The sequence below is a fragment of the Homo sapiens genome, chromosome 8 (assembly GCF_000001405.40).
Source record: "Homo sapiens chromosome 8, GRCh38.p14 Primary Assembly".
Classification (NCBI taxonomy): Eukaryota; Metazoa; Chordata; class Mammalia; order Primates; family Hominidae; genus Homo; species Homo sapiens.
Window position 1 is genome coordinate 28,396,424 of NC_000008.11, and position 13,810 is coordinate 28,410,233.

At 47.7% G+C, this 13,810-nt stretch overlaps 5 annotated features.

Moving 5' to 3' along the window:
• Positions 5,452–5,701: a silencer, noted in NCBI's record as "silent region_19057". NCBI's record gives its function as "represses an Ori minimal core promoter by ATAC-STARR-seq in GM12878 lymphoblastoid cells {active_cell/tissue: GM12878}" and the evidence as "EXISTENCE:reporter gene assay evidence [ECO:0000049][PMID:35858748]".
• Positions 5,952–6,061: a silencer, noted in NCBI's record as "silent region_19058". NCBI's record gives its function as "represses an Ori minimal core promoter by ATAC-STARR-seq in GM12878 lymphoblastoid cells {active_cell/tissue: GM12878}" and the evidence as "EXISTENCE:reporter gene assay evidence [ECO:0000049][PMID:35858748]".
• Positions 6,252–6,321: an enhancer, noted in NCBI's record as "active region_27169". NCBI's record gives its function as "activates an Ori minimal core promoter by ATAC-STARR-seq in GM12878 lymphoblastoid cells {active_cell/tissue: GM12878}" and the evidence as "EXISTENCE:reporter gene assay evidence [ECO:0000049][PMID:35858748]".
• Positions 9,985–10,034: an enhancer, noted in NCBI's record as "active region_27170". NCBI's record gives its function as "activates an Ori minimal core promoter by ATAC-STARR-seq in GM12878 lymphoblastoid cells {active_cell/tissue: GM12878}" and the evidence as "EXISTENCE:reporter gene assay evidence [ECO:0000049][PMID:35858748]".
• Positions 10,085–10,134: an enhancer, noted in NCBI's record as "active region_27171". NCBI's record gives its function as "activates an Ori minimal core promoter by ATAC-STARR-seq in GM12878 lymphoblastoid cells {active_cell/tissue: GM12878}" and the evidence as "EXISTENCE:reporter gene assay evidence [ECO:0000049][PMID:35858748]".

Sequence of the window (13,810 nt, forward strand, 5' to 3'; positions counted from 1 at the left end):
GCACAGGGCCACAACAGCAATGTGCTAACGAACCATTGCCCAGGATGTGGGGTTGGTCAACTGAACAACCTCTTGACAAGCAAAATGAAAAGATTAAAAAACAAAAGTCCGTAACCCCATATGCCAATCAGATAAAACCCCAAATATAAAAGGCTGTTTCTAAAAGCATTTTAAATGGTGCCAATCATTTTATGACAACTTCTGGCCCTTCAGAATTGAATAGCGGATGCTGTTTGTACCAGATATCTTATTGTATTCACAGTCAGCACAGTTTCTTACATCCATCAGAGATCGGCCTCCATCACTCCCCAGTGGTATACCCAACTTCACAAGACTGGTCTGTAAGACACTGGGAGCACAAGTGGGTTGACACACAGCATGAAATTCCCTCTTGAGCCAGACGCAGTGGCTCACGCCTATAATCCCAGCACTTTGGGAGGCCAAGGTGGGCAGATCACTTGAGGTCAGGCGTTCGAGACCAGCCTGGCCAACATGATGAAACCTCGTCTCTATCAAAAAATACAAAAATTAGCCAGGTGTGGTGACAGGGACCTATAACCCCAGCTACTTGGGAGGCTGAGGCAGGAGAATCGCTTGAACCTGGGAGGTTGAGGTTGCAGTGAGCTGAGATCATGACACCCTACTCCAACCTGAGCAACACAGCAAGACTCCATCTCAAAAAAAGAAAAAAAAAAAGAAAAGAAAAGAAATTCCCTCTTGAGTTTCAGTATAGATAGCAAGGTCTAACACCTAGATTCTCCTTCCAGTTTAATTTTTCTAAGTGCTATGTTTTGAATGTGTCCCCCAAAGTTCACTTGATCACCAGTGCAGCAGTGTAGGGAGGTGGGGGCTAATGGAAGATGTTTGGGTCATAGCGCACCATCCTCCTGAATGGATTAATGCCCTTATTATGACAGTGGGTTCCTTATAAAAGGATGAGTTCAGCCTCTCTCACTCTCTCTCTTGCCCTCTCTTTGCCCTTCCACCATGTTGTGACATAGCAAGAAGGTCCCTGCAAGATGCCCACACCTTGATTTTGGACTTCCCAACCTCCAGAACTGTGAGGAAATAAATTTCTGTTCATTATAAATCACCCAGTCTGTGGTATTCCTTTACAACAACACAAAACAGACTAAGACACCAAGTTTGAATCATTTACTGGCAAAAAGTTTCTCCTTGTTTCATAAGCCTACCTAAATTCATTTAGGTGAGGAAGAATGAGACTTTTTTTTTTTTCTTTGAGATGAAATCTCTCTTTGTCTCCCAGGCTGAGTGCAATGGCACAGTCTCGCCTCACTGCAACCACTGCCTCCCGGGTTCAAGCAATTCTCCTGTCTCAGCCTCCTGAGTAGCTGGGATTACAGGCACATGCCTCCCTGCCCAGCTAAATTTTTTTGTATTTTTAGTAGAGACAGGGTTTCACCATGTTGGCCAGGCTGGTCTCAAACTCCTGACCTCAAGTGATCCACCTGCCTCAGCCTCCCAAAGTGCTGGGATTACAAGCATAAGCCAGTGCACCCGGCCAAGAATGAGACTTATCTTTAGTTTTTTTTGGAGAGAATCAATACAATATTTGCCCATAAAACCCAGAGTCTTACCTTGATATGATATATATTAACTATTCTTCTAACCTGCAATTCATCTGACGTTAGGCCACATGTTGCCCTAGTAATCCTTATAATACATTGGAGCAGAAGTCTTGTGAATTATTAAAATCCTGTTCAATTACCCTTTTATATTATCCACCTGGGAGAACTCTGATTTTCCAATGCTTGTCTTAGAGATGGCCCATCTCACAATCTTCTCACTTATAAGCTGTTGATTTACAAATCCCAGCCTTCTCCCTCTTATACTGCAATTGATTGCTTCTCAAATCACCCCTGACAAACTGTCAGTGATTCTTGAAGGCACAAGAAATGACTAGCATCTAGGTGTTTGGTAATTCAGATCCCAAGGTAGGAGTGAAGATCTGCCCTATATAGAAACTAGATCTCAATCCACTTCTAGACCATTCTAGATTGTTGTTCCTCTGATATTTCCCTTCTTTCTTTGTGGCTTATCTCTTGATCCAAGCTAATCACCCCAAAGAGCCACTTCACTAGCCAATGAGTTGCCAGGCTCCTTCAAATGAATACTAACAGTCAAATGACCAGAAAATCATTCCTATAATGTATTTTAGCATCCACCCACTCCATTCCCAATGTGCTAACCCACCATTTGATAAATGGAAGTATTCATTGTCACTCTGACCTCCTGTATGTATTGGGGAAAGGCACAGGAGGTAAGATGCTACAGCACCTTTGGTTAGCTGGAAAGGCTGTGAAATACTGAAGACAGACTTGTGGTGTCTGGATGACACAGCCAGGAGAAAAAACAAATCCAATTGAAAAAAAGCCTTTAAAGTAATATGTCTTTGTTGACATTCTTATAGGAGGAAGTCAAAGAGGAATTTCATTGCACAACACACAAGAAGCTTTCAAAAATCCTCTTTCCAAATTTCTCCCACCAAAATCCTACTGCCTATAGCTGCTGTTTCTTTCTCTTCCTCCTTCTTTCTTCTGCTGTCCTCGACCTTGTTCTCCTCACTTCCTAACTACTCCTTTCCTTTCTTTTCTTTCTCAAGTAGAGAAATACAGCCTGCTCCTGACTTCCCAACTCTCAACTTTGTCAAAGGCCTAGCAGCTGACAGAGCCAGCAAATAACCTGTCCCCTTTGTCTGTCAGGGTAAAATATCTAATTTTTTTTTCTTTTCATGGTGACAATATCAGACTAGTCTCAGTTTACCTGATGTGTTCCCAAGGAGTACGTATAGGGCCTTTATAATTTTATCCCCAGACCCCTCGAATGGCCATGACTGGCAAAGGATATGAAAAGACCATCCCTCCCTCCTCTCCATGGACGACTGACCACCTTTTGCCTGGTGACCTACCCAGCTGTCCATCACTGGAATTGTTCAGCAGAAAGGAGAATGATCTGTCAGGGACTCTGTCTCTAAGATTCTGTGATTCCAAATGCCCCTGCTCCTTGCAATTCATATTCTGTCCTCTAATTGCTTCTTTAAAACTGACCCTCTCACCTTTTCCATCCTTCAGCTTTAACCAACTGATAGAAGTTATTACTATTATTATTATTATTATTATTATTTGAGAGGGAGTCTTCCTATATTGCCCAGGCTGGAGTGCTGTGGCACGATCTCGGCTCACTGCAACCTTGGCCTTCCGGGTCCAAGCGATTCTCCTGCCTCAGCCTCCCAAGTAGCTGGGACTACAGGCACCCACCACCACGCGTGGCTAATTTTTGTATTTCTAGTACAGATGGGGTTTCACCATGTTGGCCAGGCTGGTCTCAAACTCCTGACCTCAAGTGATCTGCCCACCTCGGCCTCCCAAAGTGCCGGATTACAGGTGTGAGCCACCATGCCTGGCAAGAATAGTTATTATTCTATCAGTCTTTCTTTCTTCCTTTCCTTTCCTTTCTTTCCTTCCTTCCCCCTTTATTCCTTTCTTTTCTTTCTCTCTCTCCTTCTTTGTCTTTCCCCATGTTGCTAAAAACCTTCTAGTAATCTCACCTCGACAATCTCAGTCTTACCCTCTGCACGATCCAGACCATCATCATATCCCAAGGTCAAGTGTTATCTGTCCAATCTCTAACTTGGGCCTGTTGAATTGTTTTCTGTGTATAAAAGCAATAATATTGAGGAAGAATTAGATTTTCACGGGACTCACACTTGCTATGACTCATTCTGGGAAGTGGAACACTTAAGAAGTGATAGCTGTGGCCAGCACCCAATTTCCATTATTCTTTGAGGGATAAATAAATACCACCGTGCCAAACTTATTAGTCAGGCCTGTTTTTGGAGACAAGTGACAGGAACTGAATTCATGCTAGCTTAAGCAAAAAAAATGAACTTGTTAGCTTCCTTAACTGGGAAACTCAGGAGTATAACTGGCCCCAGGCACAGCACGACCCTGGGTTTAAACAAAGTTGGTAGGGTCTGTTCTCTAAATCTCTCATTTCTGGTTTGCTCCTTCATATCAGTCCCATTTTTTCCTACTTCAAAAGAGCCCCCAGCCCTCAAAAATGAGCTTCCCTCGTGCACTTGGGAACATGGCTGCTGGCAGCTCCCAGCTATGACATCCTAATTTAGCAGCACCAGCAGAAAACAAATTTTTCTCTCGCACATTCATATATTAGTTCCAGGGAAAGACTGTAATTGATTCTGCTCAGTGAAAACGCTCACCCTTTGGACCGCTGTTGCCAGAGATGGAATCCTACGGTGGCCAGCCCAAAAAAAACCACAGGGAATAGAGAAGTGAGGTCCCATAGGAAGGGATGCGGGACAGAGAAAATCACATATGTCCATTACACGAGGGAGAAGGGACACCTTTGAGAGTCAAAGGACACGTGCACTTTCACTAGCTGTGCGACCTCTGACAAACCGCTTTGCCTTTCTCAGCCTCCGTTCCTCAGGTGCAAAACGGTTACCTGGGTGGTTATTAAGACATTACCAAGTTACGTGTCACAGCGTCTCTCTACTCTGGATTTCTCAGATAATGGAAAACTGACTTCGTGGAGGAAGGCACCGCAACTGAGCCTGCTGTCCTCAGTGTTCATGCAGATACCCTCGTGGAGCGCTCCACGGTTTACGGAAAACTCTTGCATCGACTGCATAAATTAGAAAATGAAGCGTAGGAGGCCAGACTGCCTAGAGTACAGACTCAGATCAGCTTAGTGCGTGACTGGAGTCTCATGCAGGCACACAAACCATAGGGCGATGCTGCCACCGAGTCATTTCCTGGATTAGGAGAAGTGGCAGAGACGCCCTCAGGGACCACACGTGTCAGATCTCCACCTCCCAAGCAGCGTTGCCCGGACGCGCCGCTCGGGGCCCAGAGCGCTGCGTGCACGCAGCCTCTAGCAACCACTTACCGCGTGTGTGCGCATGTGTGTACGTGTGTGTGCACGTGTGTATATGTGTAGGTGCACGCAGGCGTGTGCGCGAGTGTGTGTACGTGTGTGTACACGCGTGTATATGTGTGGGTGCGCGAGTGTGTATGTGTGTGACGCGTGTGTACGTGTGTATGCGCACGTGTGAGTGCACTCGGGTGTATGTGCTTGTGTGCACGCGCGCGTGTGTATCCGTGTGTGTGCGCGTGTATTTGTGCATGTGTGAGCGCGCCCGTGTGTGCACGCATGTGTGTACGTATGTGTGTCGTGTGTGCGCGCGTGTATGTGCGTGTGTGCGCACTCGGGGGTGTACGTGTGAGTGCGCGCGCGCACGCGTGTCTGTGTGTGTGGCATGGGAGGTGGGCGGCAAGGAAAGCAGGCGAGACATTTTTTAAATAAAATAAGAAAAATAAAAGCCCAGCCTTCCAGGGCGTCTTCAGCCAGCCCCTCCCTCCCTCCCTCCCGCCCCACCTCCGGCTCCGGGGCCGCGGCTCCGGCGCCGCGTTTTCCCGGCCGCCCCGCGCCCGAGGGTTAAAGCTCCCCCGCCAGGAGTAAACAGCACCCCAGTCGGCAGCCGGCAGCCCCGCCCCTCGGCCCGTTTCCTGCGCCAGCCCTGGCAACAGGCCCCGCCCTTCGCGACAAGCCCCGCCCCGCGCCATCCGTCTGGCCCTTCCTGGCGTCCGCCTACTAGCGGCGGGGTCCCGGCCCGTGCCGAGTGCCCAGCCAGCCCCAACCCTCTTCCCCCGGGATTCTGCGGCCAGAGCCCCAGCCGAGGGAGGGTGCGTGCCGCGCACGTGACTCTTGTTGTAGGCGGGGCCTGCGCAGCGTCGGTGGAGAGAAGAGGGGAGGAGGAGGGAGGGAGGAGGTGGGGAGGAGGGAGGGAGGGGGGAGGGGTAGATGGGGAGGAGGGAGGGAGGAGGAGGGACAGGGAAGGAAGGAAAGAGAGTGGAGGGGCGGAGGGAGGGGAGGAGGGAGAGAAGGAGGGGAGGAGGGAGAGAAGGAGGGGAGGGACGGAGGGGAAAGCAGGGGAGGGGGAAGGGGAAAGCAGGGGAAGGGGCGGGGCGAGGGTCTGGCCTAGTCTCCTCCAGCTTCGTGGAGCCCGCCTGGGGCGCCGCTCTCCCGCCCCCGCCCCTCCACGGGTCCAGCTGGGAACTGGCTATGGCCTCGCCGCCCGGCGAGGGCTGCAGTGGGTTCCCCGACGACTTTGCCGCGGTTGCTGCTTCTGCCAGCGCAGCCTCGGAGCGCTGCCCGGCTGCAGGGCTCTCACCTCTTCCCCAGGTCCCTGCTCAGCAGAGCCTCTTAAGCTTCCTGCCTGTGTCCACAGAACCCGACATCTCAAGCCCCCTGAACGCACAGGCTCCTGCTGCATAAACACCCCGCCCTCCTGCCTCCTGCACACACAGGCCTACATTGTAGGGCCTCCCACGCCTCTCCGTTCCTGGAATGGAGCTCACCTAACCCTGTGCTCGTCCTGCTGTCTTCTCTAAGGGTGGGGAAACTTGAGGTTCAGAAAGCTGGAAGGATTTCAGTGTGCACCATACATCGACCACACAACAGTCCCACTCCTAGGTATTACCCAAGAGAAATTAAAACAGATGCCCACACTAAGACTTCTACGTGCATCACAGCCAACCAGAAAATAATCACAATATCTGTGAACAGGAAAGTGAATAACCAAATTGCAATATACCCATGCAATGGAACGCTACTCAATAAAAAGAAATAAACTTCTGATGCAGTCACTACCTGGGAGGAACCTCAGAAGTATTCGCTCTGGTGGACCCGGCACAGTGGCCCACCATTGTAATCCCAACACTTTGGGAGGCCAAGGTAGGAGATCACTTGAGGCCAGGAGTTTGAGACCAGCCTGGGCAACATAGTGAGACACCCCCCTCAACAACCCGCATCTCTTCAAAAATTAGAAAAATTAGCCAGGCATGGTGGTGCAGTCCTGTATTCTCAGCTGCTGGAGAGGCTGAGGTGGGTGGATCACTTGAACACAGAAGTTCAAAGCTGCAGTGAGCTGTGATCTCACCACTGCATTCAACCTGGGCGACAGAATGAGACCCTGTCTCTCAAATAAATTTAAAATAAAAATACATAAAGTATTAGCTATGTGAAAAAAGCCAGACATACTGTAATGATTCCATTTCTGTGAAATTCCAGAAATGACAAAACTGTAACGGCAGTGAGCAGATCAGAGGTTACCAGGGGACAGGGTCAGAAGGAGGGGATTGACGAGAAAGGGGCAAGAGGAAATTTGGGGGGATGATGGAACTGTTTTATATTTTGATTGTTGTGGTGGTCACAAGGCTATATACAATTGTCAACATTCATTGAAATGTGCACTTAAAGTTGGTAAATTGTGTTTTATCTAAATTATTCCTGAATAAAACTGGTATTTTAAGGAAGGAAAGGTGGAAAAATTTCCTAGATCCGAACCAAGACTGGAACTCAGAACTCCTGTTGCCAAGGGCTTCTTTCTACCCTGATCTCTTTGTGTAATTCAGGGGCAAATGGAGGTAGATAGCAGGACTCGACTCCAGAGGTGGGGCTTGGACACTGGACCAAACTGAGCACTAACTAAAAGAGGGACAGAGAGGAAGCAGCTTTCCCATCAGTGAAGTGGGAAAGACACTTCACTGGTGGGAAAGACACGCCCACCATGTCAGTGTATCATTGCCATGGCAACACCCCAGAATGACTGCCCCTTTCCATGGCAATGACTCAATGACCCAAAAGTTACCACCCTTCTCCTAGACATTTCTGCATAAACCACCCCTTAATCTGTTACATGTAATTGAAAGTAGGTGTAAATCTGACTGCAGCCTGAGCTGCTACTCTCAGCACACTGCCTTATGGGGTAGCCCTGCTCTGCAGGAGCAGTTGAGGGGCTGTAACGCTGCTGGAGTTGTAACATTGCCACTTCAGTAAAGCTGTTATCTTCTACCCTACTACTAGCTCACCCTTGAATTCTTTCCTGAGCAAAGCCAAGAACCCTCACGGGCTAAACCCCTCTTTGGGGTTCACCTGCCTTGCATCAAGATGACTACCCGGAAACTGGCAGTATCCAGCTATTGTCATCCAGTTAACACCCTCCAGATCTTCCCTCCCAGGGAAAATGCCCTTTACCTTCTATCTGTCTCAAGGTAGCTCCAGGAAATAGATCAGAGCTGGCGGAAAAGGAAGCTGGAGAACCTTCACTAAACCTTCACTGCAAGATAAGCAGTCATGGCCGGGCGCGGTGGCTCACGCCTGTAATCCCAGCACTTTGGGAGGCCGAGGCGGGCGGATCACGAGGTCAGGAGATCGAGACCATCCTGGCTAACACAGTGAAACCCTGTCTCTACTAAAAATACAAAAAAATTAGCCGGGTGCGGTGGCAGGCGCCTGTAGTCCCAGCTATTCGGGAGGCTGAGGCAGGAAAATGGCGTGAACCCGGGAGGCGGAGCTTGCAGTGAGCCGACATCGCGCCACTGCACTCCAGCCTGGGCAACAGAGCCAGACTCCGTCTCAAAAAAAAAAAAAAAGAAAAAAAAAGAAAAGCAGTCATTTCAGGTAGGCGTTGAGAGAGAATGAACTATGGAGCCAGACTACCTGGATTCCAAACCAGCTCCTCCGCCTACTTGCTCTCTCGGACAAGTCATTTGACTTCTCTCTGCCTCCGGTTCCTCATTTGTAAACCTGGGATGGTGATAGTAACTACGGCTTAGAGATATTGTTGGGACTGAATGAGCGAAAGTAGGTAAAGTGTGCAGGCAGCATTTGGCATCTAATAAAGCCATCAAAACAATCACTCTGTGCTGTGTTCTTAGTGTCCCTACCACTCTTCCTGATCCCTCCTTCACCTCAGCTTTAGGACTGACTTCAAGATTACCAGCAGAGTGAATGGAGGGTTGGAGGGCAAGGTAGCTCTATTGACACAGGTGTGCATGATGCAGTGCTGGAATGGGGAAATATGGGGTTCAGAGAAGGAAGTCATGGGTCCAGGCAGTGGAGTGGGGAGACAAAGTAACTCCCAGATACAATGTGGACGGGTAGTCTGACATCTCCTGGTCTCTGAGCTCTTGATTCACAAGTGAGTATGTATGTCTGGCTTTCCCTTGCACTGTATGTTTCCTGAGAGCAGACACCGTGTTTTGTTTACTGTTATTCATCCTTTAGCACCTAGCTCAGTGCTTGGGGTGTAAGTGATCAACAAATGTTTGAATATTTGTTCAATGAGATTTTATTTTATTGATTTTATTGATTTTTGAGACAGGGTCTTGCTCTGCCAATCAGGCTGGAGTGCAGTGGTGCAATTATAGCTCACTGCAGCCTCAACCTCCTGGGCTCAAGCGATCCTCCCACCTCAGCCTCCTGAGTAGCTAGGACTACAGGCATGAGCCACTACATCCGGCTAATTTTAAATTTTTTTTGTAGAGACAGGGTCTCTCTGTGTTGCGCAGGCTAAGCTTTTGTATGTATCACCACACTGAGCCCTGTAGAGAGGTTCCTAATTTTAACAAATTTTAGAGTTCCCTTATCCAACTCTTTCACTTCAGAGTTAAAGGAATCAAGGAAAGATATTTGCCTGGGGTTATATGACAAGTTGGAAACAGAGGCCAAGTCTCTGCTTTCAACCTGATGTTATTTCCTTCACACTGCTCTGTACTTACAATGCAATTGGAACGAAAAACAAACTCCCTAAAACTTACAGAATTAAATGAGGCAGTATGTGGTTAAGACTCGAATGCATGGTACATATGGTAGGTGTGGCTCAAGTTGAGAAGACTGGATTCCCCAAGGCCTGGGATTGGGCAGAAAATGCTCACTGCAAAAGAGGGTTTGAACTTACCCTGAAGGATGGGTAGGATTTGGGATTCAGGAAATAGAAGTCCTGGGAGTGGAGGTAGCTTTCTGCTGAGGCCATGGGAAAACAAGAGGGGTTTGCACGGACCATAGTAAGACAAAATGTTGGAGGATTAGGTTGAGGCCAGATTGTGGGAAATTTCAAATGCCAGGATAAGGAGTTTCTACCTTAGTCTATGGGCAATGAGGAACCCCTGTATATAGACACAGCTAGGCACTGAACCAAGACAAGACACCGGGCAAAGGTCTGCCAATGTGATCTGATTTGCATCTTTTGCAGACAGTTGCTTGCCATATATATGCATTTACTGAATTCACCCCCACACAAAGGAAACTCCACCAGCTAGCTTGTCTATATTTATTTTGCCTCCATATACACATGATACTTGTTGGGAGCAGAGGAAGGGGAGGGAGATTAACATGGTTGGTGTGTCTGCTGTAGACTAGACAATTTCACCAGCAGTAGTATCTCATTTAATCCTGACAATCTTGTGGGGAGTGGGTGTTATTGCCTCAGTAACCCCCAGAGAGGGTCAGTAACTTTCCCAGCGCACAGGGCTAGGAAGTGGTGGAGCCAGAATTCAAACAAATTCAGCTTTGACACCAAAGCCCTCCCCAATTGCTTCTCGAAACCTTCCCATGAGAAGATACAGGAATTGGGGTCTCAATGCCAGGTTCCTTGAAGTCAAAGCTGGGTTTGAATTTCCATTTCCACTACTTACTAGCTGGTGGCAGAGGCTCATGACTCTGATGGACCTTAAGCTTCAGGCCCCCTCACTTTACACAGGCCCCTTGCAAGCCTGCTGCCCAATTTTCAAATCCCTAATTTTGCATTATTGTCCTGAAACAGGGCTTCAACGATTGTGTAAACCTCAGGCCTCATGAAACATGAATCTGCTGAAGGTAGATGACCTCTATCAAGTTACTTGCTGAGACTTAGTTTCTGTATCTGGATAAAATCATCCTGGACTCTGGTCTACCAGCTTAACATCCAGTTGAGACATAATACTAGAGATGCTGCAGTAACTTGAACCTGATCTCACCTAGCCTTATCCCAAAGGCAAAGGTTCACAGAGCCCCTAGGTCAAAAGAAATACCTAACGGATTGTTAAGTACAAAGGTCCAAACAACTTAATAGGTATTCATGTCTTAACAATTTAGTAATTATTTGCAAAAACAATACATAGAAATTGAAGGAAATTGATGTTTTTATTTTATTCTTTTTTTTTTTTTTTTTTGAGATGGAGTGTCGCTCTTTTTGCCCAGGCTGGAGTGCAATGGCAGGATCTTGGCTCACTGCAACCTCCGCCTCCCGGGTTCAAGTGATTCTCCTGCCTCAGTCTCCTGAGTAGCTGGGATTACAGGCATGCGCCTCCACTCCCTGCTAATTTTGTATATTTAGTAGAGATGGGATTTCACCATGTTGGCCAGGCTAGTCTTGAATTCCTGACCTCAGGTGATCCGCCCGCCTCGGCCTCCTAAAGTCTTGGGATGACAGGTGTGAACCACTGCGCCTGGCCTTTATTTTATTCTTTTTTTTTTTAATTTTTTTTTTTGAGACGAAGTTTTGCTCTCGTCCTCCAGGCTGGAGTGCAATGGCATGATCTTGGCTCACCGCAACCTCTGCCTCCTGGGTTCAAGTGATTCTCCTGCCTCAGTCTCCCGAGTAGCTGGTATTACAGGTGTGTGCCACCACGCCCGGCTAATTTTTGTATTTTTAGTAGAGACGGGGTTTCACCATGTTGCCCAGGCTGGTCTTGAACGCCTGACTTCAGGTGATCCACTCACCTTGGCCTCCCAAAGTGCTGGGATTACAGGCATGAGCCACCGCCCCCTGCCTATTTTATTCTTAAATGACTGCAATTTCTTTCTAACAGGATGAGTGCACCTGTTGAGCACTGCACAATTTCCCAAACCTTAGAATCAGATGCACACAATCGTCCTGATTTCCTATTTCCCATCCATTTTCATATGCAGTGCTTGCTTTTTAACACAGTATCCGGCAAAACCCAATTCTGTCAAGATACGATGCCACTGAAAGGAATGTAATGCAATGTAATGTTGAAACTGTGCATTGCCTTTGACTAACAGTTCATGCAGTGTGTGACAGATGGCAGGTGTCACTGTGTCCCTCTGCAACATTTAAAATATCTTGATGAGGCCGGGCGCAGTGGCTCCCACTTGTAATCCCAGCACTTTGGGAGGCTGAGGTGGGCGGATCACTTGAGGCCAGGAGTTCAAGACCAACCTGGCCAACATGGCGAAACCCCATCTCTACTAAAAATACAAACATTAGCCTGGCATGGTGGTACACTCCTGTAGTCCCAGCTACTTGGGGAGGCTGAAGCAGGAGAATCCCTTGAACCCAGGAGGTGGAGGTTGCAGTGAGCCGAGATCATGCCACTGAATGCCAGCCTGGGCGACAGAGCGAGACTCTGTCTCAAAAAAATAAAATATCTTGACGTGCCCCTGTGAATTTGTGGCAGCACCCTAGGGCACCTCAACACACAATTTGGGATACATGGACTTAAGGAAACTGTTAGAGGCTATATCAGGAAGCAACCAAAAGGCAGCATGGGCCAGGCACGGTGGCTCACACCTATAATCCCAGCACTTTGGGAGGCCAAGGCCAGCGGATTGCCCGAGCTCAGGAGTTTGCGACCAGCCTGGGCAACATGGTTAAACCCTGTCTATACTAAAATACAAAAAATTAGCCGGGCGTGGCGGCATGCGCCTGTATCCCAGCTACTTGGGAGGCTGAGGCAGAATTGCTTGAAGCCGGGATGCGGAGGTTGCAGTGAGCTGAGATTGCGCCACTATACTCCAGCCTGGGCAACAGACTCCATCCCCACCCCCCCAAAAAAGCAGTATGGTTCTTTCCAGGAGAATAGAAGCAGGGAACCACCTGTATGTATCCTTGTTCACAGTTGGCCACCCTGTCATTGTTCCATGGTCTGCAGGAAATCTTCCTGAAGTCTCTCTTCCTAGTACCTCCTTCCACCCTGGGTTATGGCTATTTACATAACATTAGCAGAGGAGAGAATAATGGTTGGTTGTTAGAAGGCCTGGGCTCAAGTCCCAGATCTGCCACTCAGGAGGTACAACACCTTGGTCATAACCTCCTCTTTTTAGAGTCTCTTCCAGCTTTAAATATCTATGAATCTATGCATCTTCCCTCAAGCTTTCTCCTGAGAGGTCAACATTTTGCACTTAATTTTAACTTAGCCTCATCAGAGCAGGAAGGAAAGAAGGAAATGTTTCTTCCATTGTACACATTCTGCATGCTAGAAAGCTGGGGACTTTAAATCAAACAAAAATCAATTTTCACATCAGGTAAATTTCTGAAAAGAGAGAAGAAAGAGCAAGAACATAAAGCTCTCTACGAGGTGCCCTTGTGTATGGGGCGCTGGAAATGTTTCTTGAGCTGAATGCAAATAACTAGGTGTCTTCAGTTTGAAAGAATTCATCAAACTGTACATTGTGATTTGTGTATATTCTACTTTAATTTCTTTTAAGGGCAGGAAAGCAAATTGCAGAATTGAAACAATATAGAAATTACATGAAAATACAACACAAACAATACTATTTTCTTTAAAAACTTGATGATGACTTGTAAAGGTGTGAATATGCTATACACTTGTGGTAATTTTTAAAATAAATTTTAAGTCATTGAAAAACACAGTAGGCCAGGCATGGTGGCCCACATCTGTAATTCCTGCACTTTGGGAGGCCGAGGCAGGAGGATTGTTTGAGCTCAGGAGCTCGAGACCAGCCTGGGCAACATGGCAAAACCTTGTCTCTACAAAAAATACAAAAAATTAGCCCAGCATGATGACACATGCCTGTAGTCCCAGCTACTCGGGAGGGTGAGGTGGGAGGGTCACCTGAGCCCAGGTGGTCAAGGCTGCAATGAGCCGTGCTCGTGCCACTGCACTTCAGCCTGGGTAACAGAATGAGACCCTGTCTCAAAAAACAAAAAAAGAAAAAGAAAAAAATAATAATAAAATAAGGC